The 15,826-nt window shown below is 47.9% G+C and overlaps 1 pseudogene, besides 1 other annotated feature; it reads right to left on the reverse strand.

The window, feature by feature from the left end:
• Positions 325 to 619: an enhancer, noted in NCBI's record as "tiled region #2430; HepG2 Activating DNase matched - State 5:Enh". NCBI's record gives its function as "activates a minimal TATA promoter and a strong SV40 promoter by Sharpr-MPRA in HepG2 cells {active_cell/tissue: HepG2}" and the evidence as "EXISTENCE:reporter gene assay evidence [ECO:0000049][PMID:27701403]".
• On the reverse strand, positions 15,018 to 15,565 carry ATP5MC1P7 (ATP synthase membrane subunit c locus 1 pseudogene 7; annotated as a pseudogene).

A 15,826-nucleotide genomic window follows, 5' to 3' on the forward strand; every position in this document is an offset into this window, starting at 1 on the left:
CCCACACTCCCAGTCCATTTTCTGCTTCTCCCTGTGTGTCACTTTCCTGACACCCAGCCCTTGTCTCCCGGGGTGAGCTGAGAAAGACCTTTAAAGGTCTCTAGTGCTGAAAAGATTATGCCACCCATGGAATCCAATATAAAAACAACACTAAACCATAAGTCATGAAACTTAAACATGCTGAAATTGAAAGAGCTTCTTTATGGATTTTTCTGATTATGAACTTCTGGGTAAGTTCATCGACAATCAACACTGAAATTGTATCTATTGTTTGGTCTCCCTGCTGTGCAGATGTGAGGAGCATGTGCTGGGTCGAATGGGAACCCCATCCTTGCCCTTGGGGAGGGAGTGCTTCCTGGGCCCCTACTCCTCCCGTGGGTGTGTGCCTGTGTGCCTGTTTCCTCTCTGGAGTGGCCTGTTTGGACTTTGGACCCTAGCAGAAGGGTCTCTGCCTTTGATCTCTGTTGGTGGCGGCAACAGTAGCAGTACTTTAGGGTTTGCTTCTGTCTCATGCCCATCTGGCCAGGGTCCTAAAGAGCAGAATGTGTAGAAATAAGAATGGAAGCCCAAGACAGCCTGCTCTTTTTGCTGTCCTCCTGCTCCCAGGCAGTGGGAATTTGTTGAGCTTCAGGTGCAAACCCAGTGCAGGGCTGGGATGCCTGAGCGCCTGTCACCAGTCACAGAAGCCCAGCAGAGTTCAAGTTCCTTCCTCCCCACAACATCCCGCCACCTCCACTGTTTATGTAAAGGGGATTATGTTTTGGAGCTTGTACATCTGAGTTTTTATTTTCCCCTTAAATTATCTGCTCTTGCAGCCTTCCAACTATGTGCTATGGTTTGAAGCCTCGTGAAAGGGGAAGATGCGGGCCACCCAGGATGAAGGGGTTCCTGATCAGCTTTGCTGCTTGGCACTGGCCTTCTGAGTCCATAGCTAGACAGCGATCCCGAAGGCCAGTCCTTATTTTATTTTATTATTTTAGATGGAGTCTCACAGTGTCGCCCAGGCTGGAGTGCAATGGCACGATCTTGGCTCACTGCAACCTCCGCCTCCTGGGTTCAAGCGATTCTCCTGCCTCAGCCTCCTAAGTAGCTGGGATTACAGGTGTATGCCACCACACCTGGCTAATTTTTGTATTTTTTTAGTAGACAGGGTTTCACCATGTTGGTCAGGGTGGTCTTGAACTCCTGACCTCAGGTGATCCACCTGCCTCAGCCTCCCAAAGTGCTGGGATTACAGGCATGAGCCACTGCGCCTGGAAGGCCAGTCCTTTTAAAGGAGAAAAAAAAATGCCGGGCACGGTGGCTCACACCTGTAATCGCACACCTGAGCTGATGGTGCCAGTTGCGTGCATCCAGGAAGCAGACCCTGCTGTGTAAGAAACACACCAGCTGTTTCTCAGGGAGCTACCACTGGGGTCAACACTTGGGGCAGCAGACAAGGCAGGAAGCAAGTGTGGCTGAAGCACGGCATCGTGCTGTGGTCCAGGCCTACAATAGCCTTGGTAACCCCATGGGTAATTGGAACTGGGATAGCTTCAGAGTTGCCCCGTGTGGGGCAAAGTTAACCAGGCCTTTATATTTCCACATTGGTCACTGGACGTGGGCCACCCCAAGAAATCATGTGATTGTTGTCAAGGCAGTTGAGGCGAGGCCTGCAGTCGGGGACGCTAAACATGGTGCTGGTACTATATGCCTGCCCGGCAGCTTGAAGGGGGCCTGGGAAGCGCAGGGCAACGTCCACACAGCTAGACAGCAGCCACTCCTTCAGACGGGCGTGCGCTGGCAACTGTGCCTTGCTGGTTGGTGTAATTGTGACCTCTGGGCTAGAGGCTTAAAGACCAGAGTTGGGAGAGGAATGATCTTCCAGGGAGTTTGAGGAAGAAAAGGTGGGAGAGCTGTGGTGTGTGAGAGAAGTGGGTGGGAGAGGAAAGGCGGCTCCAGAAAGCACTGTGGATGAGGCGTTGCTATCAGCGCCTGGGGGATGCTCTTGAGAGTGGCCTATCTCTGTTTGGGAGGCTGCTCTGGGCCCTAGCTTCAGAGGTCACAGACAGCATCGCGGGACACTAGCGCTGAGGGTCACCCTGTCACCAGGGCAATGCTGGGGGTGCCAGGAGGTGGCCGAAGTGAGAGGAGGACGTGGGGTTGGCAAAGGGTCAGCCCCTCTGCTGAAAGGCTCCAGTCCTGTGCCCGGTGGTGGGTCTGACCCTGAGCCGCTGCTCCAGTGATCATCCCAGAGACAGGAGGAAGGATCACATCTGTATTTGCGGGAGCTCCTGGTGGGGCCAAATGAGGACAAGAAGAAGAACACTTTTCATTCTGCTAGATGAATCTGGTTCCATGGACTGTCCTTCATTCCGAGACCATGCCCTTCCTGCTGTTTGAGTTCTTTCATGAAATAATGGGGATGGCGGATGGTAGTTGTTGACCTGGTTTTGCTTTTTCTTTAAAATTCCTTACTTGGTGGAATAAAAAGTCAGTGACCGGTATGGTTCCCTCAATAGGGTTTTTGTTGTTGTTGTTGTTGTTTTTGTTTTGTTTGTTTGTTTTTGAGACAGAGTCTCACTGTGTTGCCCAGGCTGGAGTGCAGTGGCACAATCTTGGCTCACTGTACCCTCCACCTCCCAGGTTCAAGCGATTCTCCTGCCTCAGCCTCCCGAGTAGCTGGGATTACAGGCGCCCACCCCCATGCCCAGCTAATTTTTATATTTTCAGTAGAGACGAGGTTTCACCATGTTGGCCAGGCTGGTCTTGAACTCCTGACTTCAGGTGATCTGCCTGCTTCAGTCTCCCAAAGTGGTGGGATTACAGGCGTAAGCCACCATGCCCGGCCCCCTCAATAGGTTTTTAATATTATATTGGCCCATGAAATTCAAAGACCCAGGAGCCCCTATCTATTTCCTCAATTAGAGAAGAGGAGTGAGGCTGGGTATGGTGGCTCACACCTGTAATCCCAGCACTTTGGGAGGCTGAGGTGGGTGGATCACCTGAAGTCAGGAGTTCGAGACCAGCCTGGCCAACATGGTGAAACCCTGTCTCTACTAAAAATACAAAAATTAGCCAGGTACAGTGGCAAGTGCCTGTAATCCCAGCTACTCGGGAGGCTGAGGCAGGAGAATCACTTGAATGCGGGAGGCGGAGGTTGCAGGGAGCTGAGATGCAGCCACTGCACTCCAGCCTGGGTGACAGATTGAGATTCCATCTCAAAAAAAAAAAAAGAGGTGCAGGAGCTCCCAAGAGGGGCAGGGCGAGGCCTGGTTTCATCACCAGTGAGGTGGGGCTCACGTCCCCTTGTCTTGCCTTTACTGTTCTGTCGGCCTCCACGTCCCGGAGGCCCATCGAAACCACTTCCTTGATCACCTCCTTGTCACACTGATGGCAGGCAAGGCTTCTCAGGTCTTGGATCGCGTCTTGTTTGTTTCCAGTGTCTAGGAGTGGCCAGAACGTTGTCAGTGTCCTATAAAGGTTGGTTGAATAAAAATGATGAATAAAATGTAAAATAATACTCCAGTGAGGGATGGGGAATCTTATGTGTACATTATTTATTTATTTATATCTATGTCTTTGTGATACAGATATGAAAGTTCTAAGTTAATGGTGGGATTTCAAGTGGGCAGGGCCGTATAATGCCTGGCACACTGGTACATGGTAGATGCTCAATAAACATCAAATGAATAAATGAATAACAAATGATGAGTAAAGTCTAAATTATCACCTTGTTAGGGGTGAATGGGTAGCATTTTTATTTTTACAGGCCCTAAAGCTTAAAGTAAGAGAATATTTCTCCATACGTCCTGCAGGGATTTTGTAGCAGGACATCAGAGTCTATAGCACTCCTGGATTTATTTCTCATAGATAGTCCCCTCTTAGTCTGTAAACCAGAGGGCCCCAGGCCGGCCCCTTTAGAAGGTGCGCTCTGTGCCCCCTGCCCCTTGGCCTGGGCATCAGTGGCCCAGAATTTGGGACTTCAGCTGGGAGAGGGAGAGTCGGCCTCTGCCAAAACACGGGCTGCAGCTGACATCTTCTTTAAACACTGAGAGTGTGCTGGGGGCAGCGCCTTGCCCTGAAAGCCTGAAGTTTATCTAGCTGGAGAAGAGAGGCTGGAGTGTTTACATCTGCTGTGGTCCTGGTGTACACAGAGCTCTTAACACAAAACGTGCTCATTTCTCAACATCGGGCTCCAGCAGAATCTGTCCATCTATGGCAGGTGGAGGAGGAAGTGGGTGAGGCTTGTCTTAGGAGAGGACGCCCTGACACCCACTGGCTGGTTGGGTCACGGGGGAGTCATCCCAGAGCCAGCCTGGATATTGCAGACAGAAGGAACTTGGCGTCTGCTCTGGGTGCTGGCGGATGTGGCAACACGTGCTGTGGCATGGCTGAGGTGAGGACAGGAGTTGGAAAAGGGCCTGCCTGCTGAAAGGCTCCAGTCCTGTGTGTTGTGGTTGGGTCTGTCACTGAGCAGCTGCTCCGAGGCTCAGCCCAGAATTAGAAGAAAGGGTCACATCTCCTCCTTCAGGAGGCTCCTGGACAAGCTGGGTAGCCAAGACCCAGCCTTGCAGAGAGAACTCACCATACCCTTCTGTCAAATGGGTGATGCGTGAGCTTCAAGCTTCAGAGGAGGGAGGAAGAGGTCTTTAGGGGTGGCGGAGAGTGAGCTTGAGTGGCTCTGGGAGGTCATGAGGGAGGGGACATGGGAATGAGCCCCAATCCTGAGAGAAAGGTCAGAGTAGCCTGGGGGAGCCAAGGGTTCCTTCAGGAGGGTAATGAGAGTTGCAGCAAGTATAAATCTTGTCACAACCCCAGGAGTGCAAGAAACATCCTCTTTCTTTATACCCTGAAAAGCAACTTGATCTTGACTCTGAGTCCTCATCTCGTCCAGCTGGCAGGGAAATCCAACTTATTACTCCTGGGCTCCCACTATCCCCCTCCTGGTGCCGTCCATAGTGCCAGGGCATCTGGGGTGTGCCTTTACTGGTCATTAATCTACACAGGTCACTTTGGAGATGCCTGCTGTCCATTTCTGCAGGGTTCTTGAGGAAGGGGGTGGGGGCTGTTGTTTCTGAGACAATCCTGGGCCCTGGGAGTTTGGCGCTTAGTTGGGCATTGGGTCCTGGAGGCCCAACTTCCCAGAGCTCCTCTCCTTCTCCCATCTTGGCCATTCCTCTCAGGGCATTGCTAGGGGGAGGAACTGAACACCCACTTCTCCTGGCCCCACGGTCCTCTCTTCTCCCAGCCCTCTCTGGAAGTCCTGCTTCGTTAAAAATTCAGCTTCTTCCCCCAAATCCCACCATCCTTCATGCTCTTTCATGATGTCTTTGATAAGACCGAGAATACTGGCAACCAAAAAAACCATTCTGCTTTCCTCCAGGACATGCAGACCTTTCATCTTCAGACCTTACTAAGAAGGGAGAAAAATATTTGCCTTCCATCCCTGGAGCATGGCAAAGAAAGGCAGGAAAAACTAAAGCTAGGTTTCCATATTAAAGCTTTGGAATATCCATTTCCTGCCCAGAGATGAGCCTGGAGAGGGAGAGTGAAGGCTGATGGAGAGAACCTTGAATGCCCTTTCTGGGGCCCCTTGTCTGAGGCCATCTTACCAGTCCTTCAAGGACCCCTCAGATGCTACCTCCTCGAGGATGCATGTGACCTTTGGGTCAAACGACTTTCTTTTTTTAATTATTATTATTATAAAATTAGATACAGGGTCTCCCTGTGTTGCCCAGGCTGATCTTGTACTCCTGGGCTCAAGGTCCTCCTGCCTCGGCCTCCCAAAGTGCTAGGATTACAAGTGTGACCCACTGCGCCAGTCCCCATATGGCCTTCTTGACCACTGATGTTGCCCCTGGGGTGGTACACTTGGGGTAATTTGCAAAACATTTTTTCCCTGCCCATATCATAGTAGGGGAGCTGACAAGAGCCCATCCCAGGCTTGGCTGTGTTTGAAATTACAGTTAACTAGTTCTCATGATATCAATTTAGGTTGCTCCAGTTCAATTCCAGTAAAATGACATCATAAAGCTGGGGGATTTGGAAGACTCCCTGACCAATGGAATACAGCCATAAAGTAAGGTGTTACATGCCTTCAATTCATGTTGGAATACCACCTAGTCTTTGCCATACTTTGTATAACATTTTTTCACTCAGCCAAAAATGTGTCTGGACCCATATAGGCTTTTCCTTCTATCCCCACTGGTCCAGGTCACCATTACAACCAGATTTGCTGCAATAGCCTCCTCACTACCTTCTGCATTCACTCGCTCTCCTCTACTCCATTCTCCACGTCTGCTCACAGTGATCTCTCCAAAAACACAACCTGACCAGGTACTTCCTGCTTTGAGCTCTTCAAAGACTCATTGTTCTCATGGTTAAGAGGAAATAGCCCTGCTCCTTCACCAGCTGGGACGGCTCACGCTCCCTCAGGAACCACTTCCCCTTCTTTCCTTTAGAAACAGAACCTCCCTGCCTGTTAGCTGTCACCTGGCTGACCAGCTAAAGTCTGCATTTCCAAGACTCCCTTCCAAGCTACATGTGGTCACATGATTAAGATCTGGCCAATGAGATGTGGGCAGAAGTGACACACACACACACACACACACACACACACACACACACAAAACTTCACAGTCTCATCTTTAAAGAGGGAGCTGCTGACTCCCCACTTCCTACTGGAGGGCAGTGGCAACAACAGGGACTTCCATCTTGAATCCACAGAGGGAAGCCATATTGAGGATGGCAGAGCCTGGGGAGGTCTCAGGGCTCTTATGTGAAAAAGAAAAAGGAAACAGGTTGGGCATGGTGGCTCATACCTGTAATCCCAGAATTTTGGGAGGCCGAGGCAGGTGGATCACCTGAGGTCGGGGGTTCAAGACCAGCCTGACCAACATGGAGAAATCCCATCTCTAATAACAATACAAAAAATTAGCCAGGCGTGGTGGTGGGCACCTGTAATCCCAGCTACTTGGGAGACTCAGGCAGGAGAATCACTTGAACCCGGGAGGTGGTGGTTGCAGTGAGCTGAGATTGCACTCCAGCCTGGGCAACACAGGGAGACCCTGTCTTGCCTGTTTTTCGAAACTCCGTCTAGAAAAAAAAAATAATAAAGGAAACAAAACAAAACAAACTTCTCTCTTGTTTGAGGCACTGCATTTTACATCTTGGGGACCCTTTATGATGGCATGTAACTCTAAATAAACACTAGCCTTCAAGAACTTCTTTGATGCTTCCACAGGTTAACTATTTTTGTTCTACATTCTAATAGCATTCCTGTGCTTTTTTTCTTGTTAACATCCTGATCCATCACATGTATTCAAAGTGTGTTTTCCCTACCATACTAGGAAATCCACAAAGCCAGGAATGATGATGACAGCCTTGATGACAGCCTTGATGACAGCCTTGATGACAGCCATATCCTCCCTGTCCTCCACTGTGATTGGCTCAATGATAACTTCTAATTAAATGAATGAATGGTGCGCCGATGAATGAACACACTGGAACAACTTGGATATGATACCATGCATACTTTTTGCTGTAAGTAACAGTAACTTAAACAAATATCTTTCTCACATAACCAGGCATCTGGAAATAGGTGATTCTGTGAGAAACAGCTCAGTGATGTCAAAAGCTCTTTGGGAACTTTGATTTTTCTTGGCCTTCCCCTCATAGCTGCAAGAGGGCTGCAACAGCTCCAACAATCTTTTTATCTAACTGCACTCTCATCCCAGGAAAGGAGCAGGAAGGAAAATAAGTCTCCTTCTAGGCTTCTCTCTTTTGGTCAGGGAGGAAAGCCTTCCCCAGGATTCCCCCCAGCAGATGCCCCTCACATCTAATTGGCCAGAACTAGGTCACATGACCACCCCAGGCCACATGGGAAGCTGAGAAAGGGAACTTCTTCCTTCTTCAGGACCCAGTGGGAATAAACCAGTTCTAACAGCCCTTGCCCCTCCTTGCCCAGGTGGTCCCATTTGGGAAGCCCCAGGGACAATGGGGTATCACGATCTGGTCACAAATAAAAAGCCATGCCTTGTGCTTGATGCTTGCTGGAGGATATCACATTCTGTCTCTTGAAATTCTCTCCCTTGACACTGGCCCACCCAGCCTTTCCCTTGACTCTGCCCATAAGCTCACCTGTTTCAGTGCAATCAGTGATTGTTATCTCTGTGGTTACAGCGTCGCTACTATTTACTGAGCACCAGCCACGTGCCTGGTGACTGAACAAGTTGCATAACCTCTTTGTGCTTCCTTTTCCTCACCTGTAAAATTTGTACTACCTCATGGGATTGTTATGAGATTAAATTAGTTAATACAGACAAAGTGCTTACAACAGTACCTGACACAAAGGGCTAAATAAGCATTTGCTGTTGTGAATTGTTTATATCCTCATTTCACAGATGGAATAAATAACATGTCCAAGGTCACACAGTCGGGGGAACCAACAGTGAAAGCCTGGTTTCTCTGACTCTAGAGCCCACAGCCTTTCTTCTCTTGCTGCCAGGCCTTGCTGTGTCTGCAAGTTTCTCCTCAGTGTCTCAAAGGTGGGATGTCTTGCCACAGACACTATTTACTAATTCATTAATCCACCTCCTCCTGGAAGCCTTCCAGGGCACTTGCTCTCTGCCCCTTGCTGGCTCTGGGAAGGCCCTTCTGGAGAACATGAGAAGCTTCCTCTTGTCTCTTCTGGAGGGCTGGGAAATGTAGGTCCTGCCCGCTATTGTGGTCAGCTGCAAAGACACAACGTCATCCTCCAGAGATGCCCAGCCCTGATGAGGACACTGAAGTCCAGGAAAGGCACTCCCTCCAGGTCAGACAGCCAAGTACTAGGGGAGCCGCAACTGGATCTTAGGCCTCCAGGATGACTGCCCAGCACCCATTCCCTGCTCCGGGCTTCCTCCGTGTGAGCATTTTGCAGAGACAGCGACTCATCCAAAGGAGACCCTTACTCACAGTAGGGCCAAGAATGGGGCTTGCCTGGGAGATCCTGGCCTGAGCATTACAGGGGAGACCATGCCTTACTCATCCCTGACCCTCCACTCCCACTCTGGCTCCTACGTGGGCCCAGCCTCATCCCCTGCAGAGATATGCAGACTGTAGCCTAAGTGCAGGAGTGCCTGTAATACACAGATTATGACACTAGAGGCCAGGCGCGGTGGCTCAGGCCTGTAATCCCAGCACTTTGGGAGGCTGAGACGGGCGGATCACAAGGTCAGGAGATCAAGACCATCCTGGCTAACACGGTGAAACCCTGTCTCTACTAAAAATACAAAAAATTAGCCGGGCGTGGTGGCGGGCGCCTGTAGTCCCAGCTACCTGGGAGGCTGAGACAGGAGAATGGCGTGAACCTGGGAGGCAGAGCTTGCAGTGAGCCGAGATCGTGCCACTACACTCCAGCCTGGGCCACGGGGTGAAACTCTGTCTCAAAAAAAAAAAAAAAAAAGAAAGAAAAACAAACGACACTAGAGGGCAGCCTCACTGCTTTAATCCTGGTGACCACAAAGGCTTTTAAGAAGCCTCCACCAGATTGATGATGATGATGATGATGATGATGATGATAATGATCGTGGTGGTGGTGGTGGCGGCGGTGGCGGTTGAGGCTACTATGTATTGAGCCAAGATGATATATCATCTCTAACCAGCAGGTCTTCTGTGCATACCATGTTCTGCTGTGTTCTGAATTGCAGAAAATGTACCACCTCCATCCAGTTACCCAAGCCTGAAACCTGGGCATCACCATCAGCTTCTTCCTCCTTCCCTCTCTCCACTCTACCACCTACTCCCATCCATTCTATATCCTAAATCTTGTCGCATCCCCATCTCTCCAGGCCCACAGTTTGTCCTTCTCCTCCAACTTTCCATTCGATTTACAGAAAGCCCCAGTCTCCTGCCTCAGGCCCTCATGCAGGCCAGCGGCTCCTGAACTTTGCTGCACATTGGAATTTCCTAGAGCTTCCAAAACTCCAGCTGCCCACGCCACACATCAGACCAATTAAGTCAGGATGTCTGGGGGTGGGAACCAGGTATCGGTACTTTTTTTTTTTTTTTTTTTTTGAGTCAGAGTTTTGCTCTTGTTGCCCAGGCTGGAGTGCAATGGTGTGATCTCGGCTCACTGCAACCTCTGCCTCCCGGGTTCAAGTGATTCTCCTGCCTCAGCCTCCCGAGTAGCTGGGATTCCAGGTGCACACCACCACCCCGGCTAATTTTGTATTTTTAGTAGAGATGGGGTTTCTCCATGTTGGTCAGGGGGATCTCGAACTCCTGACCTTAGGTGATCCGCCTGCCTTGGCCTCTCAAAGTGCTGGGATTACAGGCATGAGCCACCATGCCCGGCCATGCATCAGTACTTTTTAAAGCTCCCCAGGTTGTTCCAGTTTGCAGCCATGTTTAGGCATCACTGTGCTCTCTCTCTGAGACCCTCTTCCACGTCCTTTTAGCTGGGCAACTCGATAATCAGGCGGGTCTCTAACATTGCTGCCGAGCCTGAACAGCACAGAGCCATCGACTGCTCCTCCCCACAGCCACACTTAGTACGCTGCATTGTGACTGCTTCTTCAAACACCTGCCTCCCTACCCGTCACCACCAACTGCCCTCCCTCCACTGAGAGAAAGGATTGGGCTCCCTGATGCATGTGTGTGCAAACACGGGAATGGAACAAATCTTTATAAGAACACAAGAAGTGAGTTTTATTATTCTTAGCAATTTTGAATTTTGCCCCAGGTTTTTGTTTTTGCAGTGATCTGTTTACAGTGTTTAAAGCATAAAGAGATACATTTTCTTTTCAAATACAGATGTAGATATAAAAACACCTGTACTTAATACTCTCAAAGCCATTTTGTTCTATTTTCTACTTGAAATTTCCAAGCTGTGGCTAATCCTTACCCACGGACCTTGACACTGTGGAAAATACCCCCCAATGCTTATGATGTACGGAAAACCAAAACCAAAACAACAATTTTAACCAGGAGGTGAAAGCAGGGGCAGATGGGCTGAGTTAACCCACAAGTGTCTGTGGCTGGGGGGTCCTGCCTGTGCTGGGGTAGGGGTGGGCAGTGGATACAGGGTTTATCTCAAGGGGCTGGAGCCCAGTATTGTCTCTCCTATAGGGGCTGTACAGGTCAGTGTCCCATTTTACAAAGGAAGAAACCCAGACAAAAGGCTAAATGAATTGTCCAAGATCCTATTACTAATAAGTAAGACAGGGAAAATTCAAACTTGGCTTTAACTGACTATCCATATTCTTTCTACTATATCAGGATGGATCAAAGTTCCAGAGCTGGCTGGGTGCGGTGGCTCACGCCTGTAATCCTAGCACTTTGGGAGGCCGAGGTGCCTGGATCACTTGAGGTCAGGAGTTCAAGACAAGCCTGGCCAACCTGGTGAAACCCTGACTGTGCTAAAAATACAAATATTAGACAGACATGGTGGTGTGCACCTGTAGTCCCAGCTACACGAGAGGCTGAGGCAGGAGAATCCCTTGAACCTGGGAGGTGGAGGGTGCAGTGAGCCGAGATGGTGCCACTGTACTCCACCCTGGGTGGCAGAGCAAAACCCTGTCTTCAAAGAAAAAAGAAAGAAAAGGCTGGGTGCAGTGGCTCATGTCTGTAATCCCAGCACTTTGGGAGGCTGAGACAGGTGGATCACTTGAGGTCAGGAGTTTGAGACCAGCCTGACCAACATGGTGAAACCCCCTCTCTACTAAAAATACAAAATTAGCTGGGCGTGGTAGCAGGTGCTTGTAATCCCAGCTACTTGGGAGGCTGAGGCAGGAGAATTGCTTGAACCTGGGAGGCAGAGGTTGTGGTAAGCCGAGATGGCGCCACTGCACTCCAGCGTGGGCAACAGGAGCAAAACTGTCTCAAAAAAAAAAAAAAAAAAAAAAAAAGTAAAAAGTTCCAGAGCTGCTTTCACTTCACTCTTTAATTTTGCTTAATTTAATCTTTATCAAATTGATATATTTATATAGTTTAAGAAGTCAAATAATACCATAAGACTAATAGCAATAGAAAGTTTTCTCCTCTAATACTTCCCTAATCTTGATTCCTGTCCCCAGAGGCAATTGATTTCAATTCTTTTAGTCATTTTTTCTGGAATTTATATCTATATGTCTTAACATAATAACATGATTATTTAATTTTTCTTTAATAGTTAAAAATGTTTTTTTTTTTAAACAGAGTCTCCCTCTGTCACCCAGGCTGGAATGCAGTGACGCGATTGTAGCTCACTGCGGCCTTGAACTCCTAGGCTCAAGCAATTCCTCTGCCTCAGCCACCTGAGTACCTGAGACTACAGGCATCTGCCACTGCACCCAGCTAATTTTTTTTTCTTTTTCTTTTTTTTTTTTTTTTTTTGAGACGGAGTGTCGCTCTGTCCTCCAGGGTGGAGTGCAGTGGCGCGATCTTAGCTTACTTCAAGCTCCGTCTCCCGGGTTCACGCCATTCTCCTGCCTCAGCCTCCCTAGTAGCTGGGACTACAGGCACCCGCCACCACGCCCGGCTATTTTTTTTTTGTATTTTTAGTAGAGACGAGGTTTCACCGTGTTAGCCAGAATGGTCTCGATCTCCTGACCTCGTGATCCACTCGTCTCGGCCTCCCAAAGTGCTAGGATTACAGGCGTGAGCCACCGCACCCGGTCATTTTAAAAAATGTTTCAAAGAGATGAGGTCTCAGTATGTTGCCCAGGCTGGTCTCGAACTTGTGGGCTCAAGTGATCCTCCCACCTCAGCCCCCTAAAGTGCTGGGATTATAGGTGACGCCACCATGCCTGGCCTTACTTTTTTCTAGTTTTAATGGCTTTGATCAGCACATCCTTCATTTGAAGTCTCTACTTTTCAGAATTTATTAAAATTTCCACAAGTACATGACTACTTTTGGTAAACTTTCCATGGGCATATGAAAAGGATATATATTTTGTATTCGTGGCGTTAAAAATTATTATTATTATTATTATTTTAATGAGATGGAGTCTCGCTCTGTTGCTGAGGCTGGAGTGTGGTGGTTCGTTCTCAGCTCACTGCAACCTCCACCTCCCAGGTTCAAGTGATTCTCCTGCCTCAGCCTCTTGAATAGCGTGGGCTACAGGCATGCACCCTCATGCCTGGCTAATTTTTGTATTTTTTTAGTAGAGACGGGGTTTCACCATGTTGTCCAGGCTGATCTTGAACTCCTGACCTCTCAAACTCCTGACCTCGAGCCATCCGCTCACCTTGGCCTCCCAAAGTGCTGGGATTACGGGTGTGAGCCACTGCACCCGGCCAAAAATTCTAAATGTACCTATTAAACTGAGTTTATTGATTTTATTGCTCAATCCTCTATACATGATTATTGTTTGCTTACTTGATATATCAAGTTTTGAACATGTATATTAAAATGTCCAACTATATTGCTTTATTAATTTTGTCTGCATTTCTAGGAATGTTTACCTTATATATTTGGCTGCTACGTTATTTGGTACATAAAGATTTCTAGCTTTTCCAAAGGTTTTTCTTTTTTTCTTTCTTTCTTTTTTTTTTCTTTTTCCTTTTTTCTAGACAGGGCCTGGCTCTGTAACCCAGGCTGGAGTGCAGTGGTGCCATCTTGGCTCACTGCAACTTCCGCCTCCTGGACTATAGATGCATGCTGCCACTCCCGGCTAATTTTTGTATTTTTTGTAGAGACACAGTTTTGCTATGTTGCCAGCCTGATCTCAAACTCCTGAGCTCAAGCAATCCACCCATCTCGGCCTCCCAAAGTGCTGGGATTACAGGCTTCAGCCACGGCTGCTTTTCCAAAGGTTTTTAAGTTACATAATATACTTCGTCCAGTTTCATGCTTTTGTTTTTCTTCTTCTTTTTTTTTTCTTTTTTCTTTTTTTTTGAGACAGGGTCTCACTCTTCACTTAGGCTGGAGTGCAGTGGCGCGATCACAGCTCACTGCAACCTCCACCTCCTGGGCTCAAGCGATTCTCCTGCTTCAGCTTCCTGAGTAGCTAGGACTACAGGCTCCACCATGCCTGGCTACCTTTTGTATTTTTGGTAGAGATGGGTTTCACCATGTTGCCCAGATGGTCTCAAACTCCTGGGCTCAAGCAATCCTTCTGCTTTGACCTTGAAATATGCTAGGATTACAGACCTGAGCCACCATGCATGGCCTTTTCATGCATTTTATCTTGTCACATTGATACTAATGTTGTGATTCTGATTTTTTTTCGTAGGCTGCTTTTGCTTGGTATCTCTTTGCCTATTCCTTTATTTTCAACTTTCCTTTTTCACTTTGTTTTTGGTACATCTTACATTAACCACATATAGCTAGATTATTTTTCAATGCAACTGACAATCTCTTGAATAGGTGCATAAACCCATTCATATTTGTTGTAGTAACTGAAATACTTTTCTTCCTTTCATCATGTTTTACATTTATGCTTTATTTTGTGCAACATGGTTCTTTTCTCTTTATCTCATTCTTTCCTTTTTTTTTCTTGGTCAAATTCTAGAATACCTGCTTTTGAGTTTCTAACCACCTTAAAGTTTTAGTTCTCTAATAATACATAAAAATTAAATAGCTACATTTTCCCCAATAAGATATTTTACTTACTTTTTATTTTTCAAGGTAAGTAAAATTTTTAGAAAGTTTTGTGTTCCCTATTCTCTCCTCTTCTCCACTTAAGGTCCTGGGTTTCATTGATATCATTTAACTTCTTTAGTCTCGGAGTATTTTTTTGTTTTGTTTGTTTTTATTTTTATTTTTTGAGATGGTGTCTCATTCTGTTGCCCAGGCTGGAGTGCAGTGGCATGATCTCGTCTCACTGCAGCCTCTACCTCCTGAGTTCCAGCAATTCTCCTACCTCAGCCTCCTTAGTAGCTGAGATTACAGGTGTGCACCACCATGCTTGGCTAATTTTTTTTGTGTGTGTGTGTGTTTTTAGTAGAGATAGGGTTTCACCTTGTTGGTCAGGTTGGCCTCGAACTCTTTCCTCAAATGATCCACCCGCCTCAGCCTCCCAAAGTGCTGGGATTACAGGTGTGAGCCACCTCGCCAGGCCTGTTCATTTGTTTTTAGGGAAACATTGTGTTTAATGGTAAAGCTTAGCACACCCCAGCACCAGGAATGGCATGGAGTCGCAGCAGCAGGGACAGGCAGGTGATCCCCACAGAGCCTCACATGGCGAAGAGGATGAGGAAGGTAACCATCAAACGGAACAGCCCCGTGGCCTCAGACAAGGCAAAGCCCAGAATGGCATAGGAGAAGAGCTGCTGCTTGAGAGGTGGGTTCCTGGCATAGCCAATGATCTAGCTGCCAAACACAGTTCCAATGTCAGCCCCTGAACCAGCCACACCAACTGTGGCTGCCCCAGCACCAATCAACTTGGCTGCTGTGTCAATGTCCCCAGAGACAACACTGGTCTGGAACTTCTGTCTGGCCCCTGGAGTAGGGAGTTGCTGTAGGAAGCTGTTTAGATGAATTCTCTGGGCTATTCAAGAAGGAGGCAGACACAGGCCCGATTAGACCCCTGGTACAACAGCAGATCAGAGCTGGAGAAATGAGTAGTGCCCTGGTGGTCTATATTTTTTCAGTCTCCCAGCTTTAGCCCTTGGTCTCAGCTGTCTTGGAGTATTTTAAAATATGGATTATTTATTCCAAGAGTTCTCACTTAAAAACATATCTATATCTACACACACACATCTCATACCCAGTCATGTTATCATAATCCATTTAGGTTTTTTTTTTTTTTTTTTTTGTGTGTGTGTGTGTGTGTGTGTGTGTGTGTGTGTGTGTGTAGAGACGAGGTCTTGGTATGTTGCTCAGGCTGGTCTTGAACTCCTGGGCTCAAGAGATCTTCCTGCCTTGGTCTCCCAAAGTGCT

Source organism: Homo sapiens, chromosome 10 (assembly GCF_000001405.40).
Source record: "Homo sapiens chromosome 10, GRCh38.p14 Primary Assembly".
Lineage (NCBI taxonomy): Eukaryota > Metazoa > Chordata > Mammalia > Primates > Hominidae > Homo > Homo sapiens.